The sequence below is a fragment of the Homo sapiens genome, chromosome 2 (genome assembly GCF_000001405.40).
Source record: "Homo sapiens chromosome 2, GRCh38.p14 Primary Assembly".
Taxonomy (NCBI): Eukaryota; Metazoa; Chordata; class Mammalia; order Primates; family Hominidae; genus Homo; species Homo sapiens.
The window spans coordinates 10,434,770-10,449,689 of record NC_000002.12 but is presented as its reverse complement, the minus strand read 5'-3'; the positions used below and the strand labels follow the sequence as shown (position 1 = coordinate 10,449,689).

At 50.5% G+C, this 14,920-nt stretch overlaps 1 protein-coding gene and 1 non-coding gene across 5 annotated transcripts, besides 4 other annotated features; both read left to right on the top strand.

Annotated features, from left to right (window-relative positions):
- Window positions 493-1,972: a silencer, noted in NCBI's record as "silent region_11165". NCBI's record gives its function as "represses an Ori minimal core promoter by ATAC-STARR-seq in GM12878 lymphoblastoid cells {active_cell/tissue: GM12878}" and the evidence as "EXISTENCE:reporter gene assay evidence [ECO:0000049][PMID:35858748]".
- Window positions 1,363-9,722, top strand: ODC1 (ornithine decarboxylase 1). Of its 4 annotated transcripts, none has more exons than NM_001287188.2 (12): window positions 1,363-1,569; window positions 4,426-4,535; window positions 4,641-4,759; window positions 5,143-5,216; window positions 5,423-5,595; window positions 5,854-5,988; window positions 6,119-6,200; window positions 6,377-6,460; window positions 7,516-7,678; window positions 7,761-7,873; window positions 7,967-8,181; window positions 8,822-9,722. In NM_001287188.2, the coding sequence occupies exons 5-12, from the start codon at window positions 5,534-5,536 to the stop codon at window positions 8,964-8,966; spliced, it is 999 nt and encodes a 332-aa protein (NP_001274117.1). In that variant the 5' UTR covers window positions 1,363-1,569; window positions 4,426-4,535; window positions 4,641-4,759; window positions 5,143-5,216; window positions 5,423-5,533; the 3' UTR covers window positions 8,967-9,722. The 4 variants fall into 4 exon arrangements, with proteins under 4 accessions (NP_001274117.1, NP_002530.1, NP_001274119.1 ...); NM_002539.3 differs by having other exon boundaries at window positions 5,043-5,216; NM_001287190.2 differs by lacking the exon at window positions 1,363-1,569 and adding an exon at window positions 1,678-2,062 and having other exon boundaries at window positions 5,043-5,216.
- Window positions 2,093-2,182: an enhancer, noted in NCBI's record as "active region_15304". NCBI's record gives its function as "activates an Ori minimal core promoter by ATAC-STARR-seq in GM12878 lymphoblastoid cells {active_cell/tissue: GM12878}" and the evidence as "EXISTENCE:reporter gene assay evidence [ECO:0000049][PMID:35858748]".
- SNORA80B (small nucleolar RNA, H/ACA box 80B) lies at window positions 2,841-2,976 on the top strand. Its single transcript, NR_028374.1, has one exon. It is a non-coding gene; the product is annotated as a small nucleolar RNA, H/ACA box 80B (small nucleolar RNA).
- Window positions 3,197-3,426: a silencer, noted in NCBI's record as "fragment chr2:10586390-10586619 (GRCh37/hg19 assembly coordinates)". NCBI's record gives its function as "represses an EF-1alpha promoter that drives an FKBP-Casp9 reporter gene in an ReSE screen in phorbol 12-myristate 13-acetate-treated (for megakaryocytic differentiation) K562 erythroleukemia cells {active_cell/tissue: K562(+PMA)}" and the evidence as "EXISTENCE:reporter gene assay evidence [ECO:0000049][PMID:32094911]".
- Window positions 14,447-14,496: an enhancer, noted in NCBI's record as "active region_15303". NCBI's record gives its function as "activates an Ori minimal core promoter by ATAC-STARR-seq in GM12878 lymphoblastoid cells {active_cell/tissue: GM12878}" and the evidence as "EXISTENCE:reporter gene assay evidence [ECO:0000049][PMID:35858748]".

Sequence of the window (14,920 nt, the reverse complement as noted above, 5' to 3'; positions counted from 1 at the left end):
AAAGATATGTAAGGATCCTTGGGTTATCTGAAGCCCAGAGAAGGGAGATAACTTGTCCAAGAGCACACAGCAAGTTGGGGGCAGCGCTGGGCCAGTGCTCTGAGCTCCTCCAACCCCGCCCCCACCCACCCAAGGCTAGATCTAGATCTACCCACTCCTCTCCTTAACTCTTCATCGGCTGTACTCCCACCCTAAGGAGTCGAAATCCCCACCCTAGGGAGAGACATATCCTGTCTGGATTGTCCAAAAGGGAATGAAAGGTAAAAATGAAAAAAAAAAAAAAAAGTGTCCCCAATTCAAGTGCAGTGCCTCCCTGGTGCGGGCATTCCAGCGTGGCCTGGAGTGAGTGGCAGTCCACCTCCAGAGGCGTCCCCTGGGCGCTCCTAGGGACTCGAATTTCCCACGCGGCTTTTTGCTTTATGTATTCACTGTTTAGACGTTTTCGGTCAAAGCATTTTGGGACTTCCGTAACTCTCAGAGCGCGCCAGGGAGCCGCCCTTAAAGATACCTAGTTACTGATGAGTTCCATCCGGTAAAGCAGAGGGTAGTGGGCGGCTTGGAGACTCAGGATCCGGGTCCCCTCACGCTCCTGGCTGAGTCCCTGGCTTCACAGGGGAAACTACCTCCGCAGGCCAGGACCCATCTAGTTACAGGATACCTCGATGTTACAAAGACGAGGCTTCCAGCGCGGGGGCGTGGAGGCGGCTGCCAGCCCTGCCCGCAGCGTGCTGGCGACCCCCGGGACGCCCCTTCCCTCCCGCGCCTCTGCTCCCTAGCTGGTGGGAGCAGAGCGGCACCGGGATCACTTCCAGGTCCCTTGCACCGGAGGAATGGGCGGCAGCAGGGTCCGGAGTCGGCCCGGCGGGGCCCACGTGGCCAGCACATCGGTCCTCCGCTCGCGATTTCCCTTTTCCGCTCTCGGGCACGAGGTACTGAACGCCAGGTGGAAGCACAGCTGTGCAGCTACAGGCTCTGCCGTTCAGCTGCCGCGGGCCGGGGCCGGGGCCTGCGGCGTCGTGCGCGTGCGCGGACCAGTTCCAGGCGGGCGAGACCGCCGCAGGGCGGGGCGGGGCGAGGCGGCCGCAGGGCGGGGAGGGCGGGGAGAGGCGGCCGCAGGGCGGGGAGGGCGGGGCGCGAAGCCGGGGGCGGGGGCCACGCGTGGGGCAGGCGGTGCTCGGCTCGGCTGACGTCGGCCCGCCGGCGCCCCACCAGCTCCGCGCGGGCCCGGGTTGGCCACCGCCGGGCCCCCGCCCCTCCCCCGGCGGTGTCCCGGCCGGAACCGATCGTGGCTGGTTTGAGCTGGTGCGTCTCCATGGCGACCCGCCGGTGCTATAAGTAGGGAGCGGCGTGCCGTGGGGCTTTGTCAGTCCCTCCTGTAGCCGCCGCCGCCGCCGCCCGCCGCCCCTCTGCCAGCAGCTCCGGCGCCACCTCGGGCCGGCGTCTCCGGCGGGCGGGAGCCAGGCGCTGACGGGCGCGGCGGGGGCGGCCGAGCGCTCCTGCGGCTGCGACTCAGGCTCCGGCGTCTGCGCTTCCCCATGGGGCTGGCCTGCGGCGCCTGGGCGCTCTGAGGTGAGGGACTCCCCGGCCGCGGAGGAAGGGAGGGAGCGAGGGCGGGAGCCGGGGCGGGCTGCGGGCCCCGGGCCCCGGGCACGTGTGCGGCGCGCCTCGCCGGCCTGCGGAGACACGTGGTCGCCGAGCGGGCCACGACCTTGAGGCGCCGCTTCCTCCCGGCCCGGGGTTCTCCCGCGGCTGGATAAGGGTGATCCGGGCGCCTCGTTCTGCCCCCGTCTTCACAGCTCGGGGCTGGAGGGGCCTAGGGGAGACCCACCCGGAGACCCTGCGGCCCCGCGCCGGCCTCTTTCCCAACCCTTCGGCGGCCGCGCGCTGGCCGGGGAGCCGTTGGGGAGGCCCTGGCGGCCGCGCAGCAGGTGCAGGGGCGCAGAGCCCGGGCTCGCCTTGGTACAGACGAGCGGGCCCCGGCCTTGGCGCCTTCAGTTTCCTTCCAGTTTTTATTTTCGCTGTGTCTACAGAGCAGATGACACCAATTTGGAAACCCGCGAGAGTGGGTAGAGCTAAGATAGTCTTGCTGTAGTAGCTGTGATATTAGATGCTCGGCCATGACTTAGAGGTGTTTATTTAAGGACTGTGAATGACTCGGTGATTTCGGAAAAGCTTGGCTTAGATGAACGGACATACACAGGGGAGACAGCCCTAAGGTTTGCAGAAAAGGCTGATTGTGCTGTTTGCGAAGTCGAAATAATTGGTGAAAGTGTAGAAGGCAGAACCTCTCAGGAATGTCTGGGGAGGACAAAGAATGTGTTGGCTGACTTTGTTTAAACATAAAATTGGGCAGACTTTAATTGATTTGTGAAATTTTTTTCAAAGTTTGTTTGAATTAGCCCCTATCTCTTCTAACATTATCCTCTTGTGCTAATTGATTGACCATTTTAAATAACTTAGCTGTTACAGAAAGACCGAAAGGTGTTCTTCAGTAAAATATATTCAAGTAAGTTACTTAAGTAACGCCTTAAAAGATACAGAAAAGCAAAAAAGTATTGGCGTATTAAAAAGAAATCAAAACTTTCCAAGTTTAGGCCTGAACATTGCCTTAAAAATATTTAATAAGGCCTCAAATGACCCAGTCCGAGACTGCATGAGCCTATTTATTATTAAATTGTAAATATTCTTCATATAAACAAAAATATATAACCATGTCTGTAACAAAAATGGTTTTGCTAGCGTTGTTACTCTCTTCCCTTCTCCGAGGGGTGATTTAGGCAACTTCGGAGGTTGACAATGCCAAGCAGTCACAATAGATAGAGCTTTAAAGCAAATTCTATGCATGGGTTTGGATTTATGACAGGCCCGTCACCCTGGGCCTGTCATAGTACCCCATGCCAGAGCAAACTGTGTCCCCGAACCATTGCCTGGCCTCTGTGCCCGTAGGCTGCTGGCACTGAAGTGGGTTGCACAGTGGAAAAGAAGAAAGCTCTACCTGGCAGAAATTTTTAAAGGTTAAAATAAATAATTTTAAGAAAGCTGGTTCACAAGGTGCCACATTTGATGAAAGCAAAATACAGTGGCTTTTATTGTTACTAGAGTGATGTTCTTGCTTGTTTTTCTTTTTTGGTGAAGTTAGCCCCAAATTATTCTCATAGCTAAGCAAATACGAGAGTGACTGTAAGGACAGTTGGCATTCCCGGAATTGCTAAACTTGGTAGGCAACGCTGGTTTAAGAATACTGAGTTCTAGCCGGGCGTGGTGGCTCACGCCTGTAATCCCAACACTTTGGGAGGCTGAGGCAGGCGGATCACCTGAGGTCGGGAGTTGGAGACCAGCCTGACTAACATGGAGAAACGCCATCTCCACTAAAAATATAAAATTAGCCAGGCCCCGGGTGTGGTGGCACATGCCGGTAATCCCAGCTACTCGGGAGACTGAGGCAGGAGAATCGCTTGAACCCAGGAGGCGGAGGTTGAGGTGAGCCGAGATCATGCCATTGCACTCCAGCCTGGGCAACAAGAGTAAAACTCTGTCTCAAAAAAAAAAAAAAAAAATACTGAATTCTGATCAGGTAACAGCAACTGTAATACAATGTGATAAGTTGACTTGAAGATTACAGTTTTTAAGAAGTATATACCCAGCTAATACATGAAAATTAACTCGTAAAATCTCAAATGCTCCAGACATTTCCATGATGCCTGTTGGTCAGTAAAAATCATTCTAAGACTTAGTGGAAGTAGGAAATGTTTGTATGGCTGTGTATAAAGGCTATAATGTAATCCCAGCACTTTGGAAGACCGAGGCGGGTGGATCACCTGGGGTCAGGAGTTTGAGACCCACCTGGACAACGTGGTGAAATCCTGTCTCTACTAAAAACACAAAAATTAGCCGGGCATGGTGGCAGGCGCCTGTAATCCCAGCTGCTGGGGAGGCTGAGGCAGGAGAATCGCTTGAACCCGGGAGGCAGAGGTTGCAGTGAGCCAAGATTGCACCGCTGCACTCCAGCCTGGGTGACAGCGTGAGACTCTGTCTCAAAAAAAATAAAAAAGTCTATAATGCTATTTTAAGTTTCTAAGGAACTGAAACTGCTCTGAAATAAATCAGACCATTATAAGACTTTTTTCCATATCAGTGAGCTAAGTGCAGATAAGCTTCTGAAACTTGCATGCTAGATTTTTTTGGTACAAATATTTGAAATGCTTAGTGTGCTGCCTTGGAAAAACCTGGTATTTTTTGTTGTGTCCTTATACTGCCAAGGTTTATGGAATCATGTACCTTATGCCTAGTAATAATTAGGATGACCAGGCCAGTGAGTGGTTCATATCCGGGGCATGATTAGCTCTGCGTGTGCTCAGCCAGTGCCCCATCTTCAACTCGATGTGTTCCTAAGGTAGACAGCAAATTCCCTATTTTATTTCTCAGATTGTCACTGCTGTTCCAAGGGCACACGCAGAGGGATTTGGAATTCCTGGAGAGTTGCCTTTGTGAGAAGCTGGAAATATTTCTTTCAATTCCATCTCTTAGTTTTCCATGTAAGTATTCAGTTTACATTTATGTTGCAGGTTAATCTTAAGAATTGTATTGCTAAGGCTTCTAAGTGAATTTCTCCACTCTATTTGCATTTTGTTGCATTTCAGAGGAACATCAAGAAATCATGAACAACTTTGGTAATGAAGAGTTTGACTGCCACTTCCTCGATGAAGGTTTTACTGCCAAGGACATTCTGGACCAGAAAATTAATGAAGTTTCTTCTTCTGTAAGTATATGAGGCCCATGCTGGCAGTGCAGCTGAGAGTGCCAGGCAAGTGGAAAACTTTGGCAAGGTCTAAGGAAGAGCAATGAGGCTTACATGTCTTGTTATGGAATGTAGAAATTAATTCACTGGTGGTAAATTAATAGTGATAATGGTGATACTCATATCAGTGGCTAGACTCAAAAGAGCAGGATTCATTGTGACTGATGGGAATGAAGGTCGCTGGCTATTGGTGTGGTGTGTGGTGAGGCTGCTAGTGAGTCACCTGTGACCACTCTTGTTTCAGGATGATAAGGATGCCTTCTATGTGGCAGACCTGGGAGACATTCTAAAGAAACATCTGAGGTGGTTAAAAGCTCTCCCTCGTGTCACCCCCTTTTATGCAGTCAAATGTAATGATAGCAAAGCCATCGTGAAGACCCTTGCTGCTACCGGGACAGGATTTGACTGTGCTAGCAAGGTAAGCGATAGCAGCAGGCCTCAAAAGCGTTGTATAAAATGGGCCTGGTATTCCCCACGAGGCAGATACAAGTTGTGTTTTTTGGGCAATAAATGCTCACTAAAGGCAAATGGGGCGGGGGGGTACATGACAACTTCCCATGCTTTTCTGTTTATTCCACGTGTTAAGCCACATATGGATAGCATGACACCACTCTTCTTTTTCAGACTGAAATACAGTTGGTGCAGAGTCTGGGGGTGCCTCCAGAGAGGATTATCTATGCAAATCCTTGTAAACAAGTATCTCAAATTAAGTATGCTGCTAATAATGGAGTCCAGATGATGACTTTTGATAGTGAAGTTGAGTTGATGAAAGTTGCCAGAGCACATCCCAAAGCAAAGTGAGTTATTCCCCCATCTGAGGGCAAGATCGGGAGCATAAGATATGTGGATTCTTATCAAACAAACTTAAATTTCTGATTATTATATTTCTATACTTTAGTAGAAAGTAGTTGAAACCCCCATTGAGTCATGAAGCCTGGGACTCAAACTACAGAATATATCAGCGACAGTATTTAGAACAGGATTGTTTTTATTTTAATTGTGGCTATAAGTGAACATCTATCATGAGACATTTGCTGCACTTTCCTTGCTTGTAGGTTGGTTTTGCGGATTGCCACTGATGATTCCAAAGCAGTCTGTCGTCTCAGTGTGAAATTCGGTGCCACGCTCAGAACCAGCAGGCTCCTTTTGGAACGGGCGAAAGAGCTAAATATCGATGTTGTTGGTGTCAGGTGAGATTTTGGTGGGATAGCTAGAGGTCAAGACATTGAACAGTTTGAGTTTTACAGGCTTTCTCCTAGTGTTTGCTATTATTTTAAGAAATACTAAGACACAGTGTCTCGTCTCTTTATTTTACCCCAGCTTCCATGTAGGAAGCGGCTGTACCGATCCTGAGACCTTCGTGCAGGCAATCTCTGATGCCCGCTGTGTTTTTGACATGGGGGTGAGTATACGTGACCCTGTTAGGGAAGGGCGGGACACAACTGACAATAACTAGTCTTAATTCTAGAGTTAACTTTTTATGGCAGTTGGTTCTGTATTACATGGGTTTCAGCCTATCTGCTGCATACATTTTTGTTATTAGCTGTGGATCTGGCTGACTTATTTTCTTGATTCTAGGCTGAGGTTGGTTTCAGCATGTATCTGCTTGATATTGGCGGTGGCTTTCCTGGATCTGAGGATGTGAAACTTAAATTTGAAGAGGTAATTTAGAACAAAACTGTAATACTCAGTAGCCGTTCTAATAAATTCCTTTTTGGAATATTTCAAAATTTAAGTGTCTTAACTAATACCACAATGGGCTGAAGTGTCTTGGTGTGATATTTTGAGTGATTTCTTTGTGCTGTCTGACATTACACTTGATACCATTTGGTTTTCTAAAGTGTGAATCAGCTTTCCCAGAAGTCTTGGATAATTGGTTACATTGGAAATCATGGCTCACACCTGTAATCCAGCACTTGGGGAGGCCAAGGTGGTAGGATCACTTGAGCCCAGGAGTTTGAGACCAGCCTGGGCAACACAGTGAGACCCCATCTCTACAAAAAAAATTTTAAAATTAGCCTGGTGTGGTGGCGGGCACCTGTAATCCCAGCTACTTGGAAGGCTGAGGTGGGAGGATCACTTGAGCCCAGGAGGTTGAGGCTGCAGTGAGCCATGATCATGCCACTGCACTCAGCCTGGGCTACAGAGTGAGACCCTGTCTCAAAAAAAAAAAAGAAAAAGCATGTTGCTGTGGGCTTCCTAGAGAATATGCTGACTGTAGCACATCATCACCCCAAATGTGCTTTGCTAGACCTATGCTTCCTCTCCTTAAAATACTTGAAATGTTTAGTCACTTAGGAAGTTAAGCCATTATATTGGTGCTTGAATTTATAAAATATATCCACATGGTTTGTTAAAATCATGACGTAGGCAGAATAGGATTTTTATCCTGTTGGCATGTATTTGTTAAAATGTTTTGACATCTTGATGCCTTCCTAGGTAGTAGTTAGTTGCGTACTGTTCTTTGATAAAAATCATACCCATAACATCCTAAAGGAGATAGGGTGCCTGGAGGGGAATGAAAACGAGCCACCTGGGATATGTAGCCTGGTTTTCAGGGAGATGTTGATGTTTTTTTGCTTTTGTTACTTTAATGATAAACCTGTCTGTTGATGCCTGGTCTCATGATGTCATGTCACAAGGCCCTGTGATGTTACTCCCCCATGTGAATTTCCCACAATGAAGGCTGCTCTTTCTTTTCTGTTTCACTCTCTTAGATCACCGGCGTAATCAACCCAGCGTTGGACAAATACTTTCCGTCAGACTCTGGAGTGAGAATCATAGCTGAGCCCGGCAGATACTATGTTGCATCAGCTTTCACGCTTGCAGTTAATATCATTGCCAAGAAAATTGTATTAAAGGAACAGACGGGCTCTGATGGTATGTATAAAGGACGAATCACTTCATGTATAACTGAAAGCTGATGCAAAAAGTCATTAAGATTGTTGATCTGCCTTTCTAGACGAAGATGAGTCGAGTGAGCAGACCTTTATGTATTATGTGAATGATGGCGTCTATGGATCATTTAATTGCATACTCTATGACCACGCACATGTAAAGCCCCTTCTGCAAAAGGTAATTTCTGAGCATACTGTATAAAACAATTAAGAGGACTGGTCACAACACGTGTAATTAAGTAGTACTTCCTCTCTCCGTCTCTTTATATAGAGACCTAAACCAGATGAGAAGTATTATTCATCCAGCATATGGGGACCAACATGTGATGGCCTCGATCGGATTGTTGAGCGCTGTGACCTGCCTGAAATGCATGTGGGTGATTGGATGCTCTTTGAAAACATGGGCGCTTACACTGTTGCTGCTGCCTCTACGTTCAATGGCTTCCAGAGGCCGACGATCTACTATGTGATGTCAGGGCCTGCGTGGTAAGTAAGCCATGCATGTTGATGGTGCTGCCAAGAATAGGCACCTTCTTGGATGTGTGCTTCTTGTCTAGACGAATAAGAAATTGTCTTGCCTAAGATTAAATATATATGGATATTTTTCCTAAGAAAAGTTTTAGAAAAGACTGATGAGTGTATTTCTATGTAATTGGAATATATTTAAGTTCATGCCATGTGTCTTGTGGTTTCCTTATTACCAAAACGGTGACTGAAGAAACGCTTGCTTTAGAAATACATTGAATTGGCCAGGTGTGCTGGCTCACACCTGAAATCACAACACATTGGGAGGCCAAGGCAGAAGGATCACTTGAGCCCAGGAGTTCGAGCCTGGGCAACATAGTGAGACCCTGTCTCTACAAAAAATTAAAAAATTAGTTGGCCATGGTAGTGGGCGCCTGTAGTCCCAGCTGCTTGGCTAAGGTGAGAGGTTTGCTTGAGCCTGGGAGGTTGAGGCTGCGGTGAGCTATGATAGCACCATTGTATTCCAGCCTGAGTAACAGAGAAAGACCCTGTCTCAGAAAAAAAAAAAATACATTGAATTGTTTCCTGATGGGAAGTAAATACTCTCATGCCCAGTTAGGAGTGAGTCAGGGTTTTTAATATGCCACTTTTTCTTTCTCAGGCAACTCATGCAGCAATTCCAGAACCCCGACTTCCCACCCGAAGTAGAGGAACAGGATGCCAGCACCCTGCCTGTGTCTTGTGCCTGGGAGAGTGGGATGAAACGCCACAGAGCAGCCTGTGCTTCGGCTAGTATTAATGTGTAGATAGCACTCTGGTAGCTGTTAACTGCAAGTTTAGCTTGAATTAAGGGATTTGGGGGGACCATGTAACTTAATTACTGCTAGTTTTGAAATGTCTTTGTAAGAGTAGGGTCGCCATGATGCAGCCATATGGAAGACTAGGATATGGGTCACACTTATCTGTGTTCCTATGGAAACTATTTGAATATTTGTTTTATATGGATTTTTATTCACTCTTCAGACACGCTACTCAAGAGTGCCCCTCAGCTGCTGAACAAGCATTTGTAGCTTGTACAATGGCAGAATGGGCCAAAAGCTTAGTGTTGTGACCTGTTTTTAAAATAAAGTATCTTGAAATAATTAGGCATTGGGACGTTTTTATGGTGTGTTCATTCCAGACAGTTCACGAATCCCGTATAGCTCGCTCTGATTCTCAGAGAACAATGAGTGGGTCCACCCACACACAGGTAGGAGGACAGGTGAGACGGAAGCCCCATCCTCCCATGTGGACGGTGCACATCTGCTCAGCCCACCCCACATGTCCAGAGTTGGCTGCAAACTCCTTGTCCAGAGCCTCTGGTGGTGGGACCTACTTAAGTCTGACGGACCTGTCCTGTCCAGGCCAGTGCCCAGGGAAGGTGTGGGAGGCCCTTTGAGCCTGGCCTGCAGAGACCATCCGTGTCCCCTCCCACCTTCATGCCTGTGAGAAGTTAGGAATGTATACGGTACCACATTTGGCAGTCAGCTTATTTTAATAAATTCAGCAACAGCAAGTCCCTACCATGTTGTGTATCTTCACCATCTTGTCTGACCATGACCACTGGCCTTGTGTGTTCTTTTACTCAACGTGTACCCCCGCTCTCCCCCAAAGTGTGGCAGGCTCTCATGCTCCTTAACCCCCATTGTGGCAATGTCTTACGGGTAACGCTGGAGCTGCAGGAGGAGGGAAGGACACGTCAGAGCCACCAGGCAGTGGGAGCATCTTGGAGTCCCCACCAGCCTCATGAGGGGGACAGGAAGAGAGCAAATGTGTAGGGAGGAAGGCTGTGGCTCCTCCCGGGGTGGGAAGGTCAAGCCGATGCTGTCACCCATTTACCAAAGCTGAAGAGAGTGACTTCCTTTCTCAAAAGCATCACCTTCCCCTGAACCCTGAGTCCAGAGAAGCCAGGAGCCCTCATGTGGCTGCCGAGTTAGCTCAGGGCTTGGCTTATCACCAACTCTGGTCTCCCTGGGCCAGGGTTGCCAAAACATGAAAGATTTTTTCAGGAGCCAGAGGTTGGTTCTGACTGGAGGGGGAGGGCGGGAAGGAGTGCTGTAGTCCACAGCCCTACCTTCCGGGAGCCTGAGAAGTAGGATGCTGGTGTGTTTGGGTAACTCTGAGCTCCCCAACAAGGGCAGTTCCCTGGGATCCGGGACCCACTATGTTAAGAGAGTTGGCACTGAGTATGTACTGTGTGCCAAGAAATTTGAGCTAGACACCAAGCCTAGAATCTTGGTAAATTAGGTCTTCCATCTTAAAAAGGAAGAAATTCCCGAGATCGCTTAGTGGCAGTGGTGAGCTTGGACTGAAAAGGGGGGTATTCCACTCAAAATCAACTAAGGCTTTGGAAACAATGCTCTTTCAGCCAGTTAGGGAAAATGTAATCCAACAACGGTCAGTAGTGCCAGTGGGGACAGAAACAGCCGCAGGTAATCCCGTGCTACACGTGAGTGGCCCCTGAAACCTCGCTTCTGACCACAGCTTGGCGTAGCCACTTACAGGCCCCAACAAAGCCAGACTTGGGTCTGTGAAATGATGTGGCCAGGCTTGATCAAGTGATCTTCCTTGGCCCTTGTACATGGGAGCAGGCAGGCGAATTTGGCAGGAGAGACCAGAGAACGAGGACAGCCAGACGGTAGCCGGGGCTGTGTCGACACCAGGCACCGTCCTCCAGGAGGCTTAAGTCCTGCTTTGCATTTGGGTATCTCCACGTCATTTTTAAAGATGGTGCTGTCTGGTCGTGCACAGATACTGGGCATTTCTAGACTCGTGACTTGAAGTGAATACAGCTCCACCAAGACCACTTGTGAATTTCTTCCTGGCGTGCTGGCCCCCGGGAGAGGGGATTCAGGGGAATTGAACTATTGGGCAAAGGTAAAGGCAGCCAGAGTGCATTAGAATCACTTAGGGTGCTTCTTAAAAATACTCATTATTGCCCCCTGACCACTTTCCCCAGACTCTGGGGATGGAGTAGTGTTGGAGCAACTGGAGAACCATCTGGAAGACATAAAAGTATCCCCAACTCCTGCTCCAAAATACATTCCAGATAGATGAAAGTTTTAAATATAACAGATTAGACCATAAACCTACTGGAAACAAAGTCAAAAGGCAAGGGACCAACGGCTACAATGCCCGTGAAAAGGACTAATTTTCTTCATATTAAAAACAACAAATCAATAAAGTAACTATGCAATAGAAAGTGGGCAAGGCATAAACTTGGCTCACAGTAAAGTTTTTTTTTTTTTGGTAGGCAGAGTCTCACTCTCACCCAGGCTGGAATGCAGTGGCACCATCTCAGCTCACTGTAACCTCTGTCTCCCGGGTTCAAACGATTCTTCTGCCTCAGCCCCCTGAGTAGCTAGGACTACAGGTGCATGCCACCACACCGGGCTAATTTTTGTATTTGTAGTAGAGACGGTTTCACCATGTTGGCCAGGCTGGCCTTGAACTCCTGGTCTCAAGTGATCCACCCGTCTCTGCCTCCCAAAGTGCAGGGATTATAAGCATGAGCCACCACGCCCAGCCAACAGTAAACTTTTTGAACATGAAGACATTTGTCAACCAAAGGAAACACACAGTAAAACTATGAGAATCTATTTCTCACCTATCAGATTGGCAAAGACAAGAGTTCCCCAGCTCGCGGGGTGAGCAGGTGTGCTCAAGCACTGGGCGGAAAAGTAAATTAGAGCAACAGTCTCTTTGGAGGGAACTTGATAATATCAATAATCCACATTATCTTTGACCCAGCAGTTCTAAGAATTTCTCTGATGATACTCTTCTAAAATTATTCATTGTGGCATCATTTGTAAACAATCTCTTGTACACAAGCAGGTACTGATGAAATTGTCAATGGAACGGGATATACAGTGGTTAAGGAATGAAGCAGATTCATCAGTACTGATAAGGAACAAGCTCCAAGCTAGATTCAGTGAGGATAGCAAAGCAAGGGGCACGTGTAGTATGCTACTGTGTGTGTAAAAAGCAAAATCAAACCCCAACAAACTGTGTGTGTACATACATACTTGCATATGCATGGCATATTTCTGGAAGAGCTTGTAAGAAACGGGTAACAGAGGTTGCCTCTAGGCAGAAGAACCAGAGGCCTGGGCCGAGAGTGGGGACTGGCTCCACACTGCGCTTTTGATATTGGAATGTATTACTGACTTTACGAGGATTGTAAAATAGGTTTCCCGCGTGAAGACATAAACTCAGAGATGAACTCAAGTCACGCAGATAGTGAGGCAGCATTCAAGCCAGGTCAGAGGACCCCAGCATTCATTCGGTGTTTCCCTACCCTGGGAACATGCTGTTAAGCAGCTGGAGGGTGGCTTGGGCAGTGGACTGGCTCAGGGGGACATGGTAGAGTTGCTCACGACCTGGTCCTCACCTTTGCAGGGTCCAGGAGGGCTGGCTCATGCCAACCCAGCTCATGAGGCCGACGAAGGCAGCAGACCCATCAGAAGCCAAAGATGGGAACATTCCTGGCACATCAGCAGGTGGTCAACCCCTCCCTCCCCGACAGTGTCAGGGCCAGGCACTGCCCCTCACAGATAGCCTGCAGCAACCAAGGGCAGGCCAGAAGCCGGTGGGCAGAGCAAGCCACGTGTGCCCCCTGCGGCCCTCTTGAGCCCTGGCTGATGCCCACTTTGCACTTTCTCGTGGGTAGGGCCTGCCCCTTCCCGGGCCTCACTCGGCTTGTCTTGTGAAGTCATGTGCTCGTCACACCCCAGCAGTGACCTCTGCTACTGGGACCACACATCTCTTCGCAGGTTCCCTCCTTACTAGATTTTCCTAAGTGACTCGAAGTGGCTGGCTAGCCCCTTCCGCTTAGGGGGTTTTCTGGCTGTCACCCTGTACCCTCTTTGACATGGGCCCTCCCCCATGCTGGATCTGGGGGTTTGCTTTGCACCATCTCTGGGCCCGGCTGGAAAACTGCCCCTGAAGGCAAGAGTCGACCCATTTCAAATCGGGCTCTGTCCCCACCAGGGATTCCCGAGAAGCCTCAGTGCCTGGGGGTGAGGGGGGCAAGTGGGGGGCTCTGCCTTCTCCGCCTCACCCAATCTCACCCATCGGGTTTCAAGGTAGGACGTCATGTGAAGCAAAGGCTTTGCAGAGTTCTCCCAGTTCTTGTTTTTTACAGATGGGATGAAGCCCAGAGAGGCCAAGTGACTCGTCCAAGGCGAGTCTGTAAGTTAGAAGGAGGGCCTGGGTGTCCTCAGGGCCCTGCCTCGCCAGCCAGCTTCTGCTCCTGGGCTCTTGCTGAACAATGACCATGACTAGAATGCGGCATCCTTCTCTCACCAAGGGCAACGTGTTCCCGGCCCCTGCTCTCTGCCAATCCTATTCCCTGCCAGGGTGGCAGAGGCAGCCCCGAGCACCCATGGCTCCGGAATACCACAGACGGTGGCACCTGGCCCTGCATTCCTGCTGTGGCTTCAGCTTCGGCTGGAGCTGGACAGACGAAGCTGGACCCAGGCCCCACACCTCACTAGGCACTAGCCAGACCCAGGCCCTATGCCTCACTAGGCACAGGGGTCCCCACGGCCGCCTCCTTCTGAGTGGGGGTTGAGCTGGTGCCCCCCACCCACGGCAGGGCAGCTACAAGGGAGGATTGGTGAAGGCCCGAATGCAGGGCACAGAGTGGAAGCGCCTCCGGAATTCTTGCTGCTGTTGGGAGTTCGGAGAATTTTATCCACATGCAGCACTGACTCCAGGCTGGAGAGGGCTGTGACCAGGCGTGCTCTGCCACTGGCCAGGGGTTACCTAGGTGGAGCTCAGTCAGGTGACTTGTGGAGCTCAGGCCCGTGAGCTTGTGAGCTGGGGAGCGGGGGTCTCCAGGCTGGGCCAGCTCGGGGGTGGCTCCGCAGGGGAGGAGACCTGGTGCCCTGCTGGGCGAGGGTCAGTCTGGGCCTGGGTGGTTCCGCCAGGAGGGTCATGCACCTGGCCCTGGGGGTGCCTGTCAGAAGGCCTGGCCCTTCCAGCTTCTCACCCGCCCCAGGGCTGTGCAGGCCCCACTCCCTGGCTTCTCAAGGAGGGTTGCCAGACTTAGCACAAAGATAAGATACTGCACGGGACATATGTCAGCTGCAAAATTGCTTCTCGTTGATCTGAAATTCAAGTGTAACTGGGTGCCCTGTATTGTATCTGGCATTCCTATCTGGCAATAAGGCCTCTGGTCCTGGGTACCGGGAGCCTGGCCTCAGCTTTTGTGTGCCGTTTGGCCCACCACAAGTCAGGGGCTCCTCTGGGCCTCAGCATCCTCCTCTGTCATCAAATGCCGCCCAGGACAGAAAGCTTTTCTCGAAAGCAGGCCCAGCTGGAACCCGCACACCCAAGCCCTGGATGGCCCTCCTAGCTATGGACACCAGGGGGCAGCAGCACCCCGCGGTGGCAGCGCGGTCGGGGCCAGGAAAAGGCAGTCAAATCACTCGACCACTGGGCAAACACTGATAGCTCCACTATCGCAGGGGGCCCTTGACAGCCACAGGGCTGTGAGACTGGAGCGTGGCCTCGATCCAGAGCTCCCGACTCAGCCACTCCAGGGTCCCGGGGGCTTTGAGGAAGGGGCACCAGGCAGCCCAGTCCCCGACCAGACCACTCCCCTGACCCCCAAAACACTTCCTGAGGCCCCCCAGGTGAAGCCCCCAGCCCAGCCCCTGCACCCCTGCCCCATGTTGTAGAACCAGCCCTGTGTACAGCTGGTGGGGCCCTGCAGCCT

What these genes read in the sequence shown, in the direction of transcription:
- ODC1 (NM_002539.3), top strand. Translation starts at nt 4,658, where the DNA reads ATGAACAACTTTGGTAATGAAGAGTTTGACTGCCACTTCCTCGATGAA. An exon ending in ATCGATGTTGTTGGTGTCAG is followed by an intron (nt 5,989 to 6,118) that starts GTGAGATTTTGG and finishes ATTTTACCCCAG; the next exon opens with CTTCCATGTAGGAAGCGGCT. An exon ending in GTGATGTCAGGGCCTGCGTG is followed by an intron (nt 8,182 to 8,821) that starts GTAAGTAAGCCA and finishes TTTCTTTCTCAG; the next exon opens with GCAACTCATGCAGCAATTCC.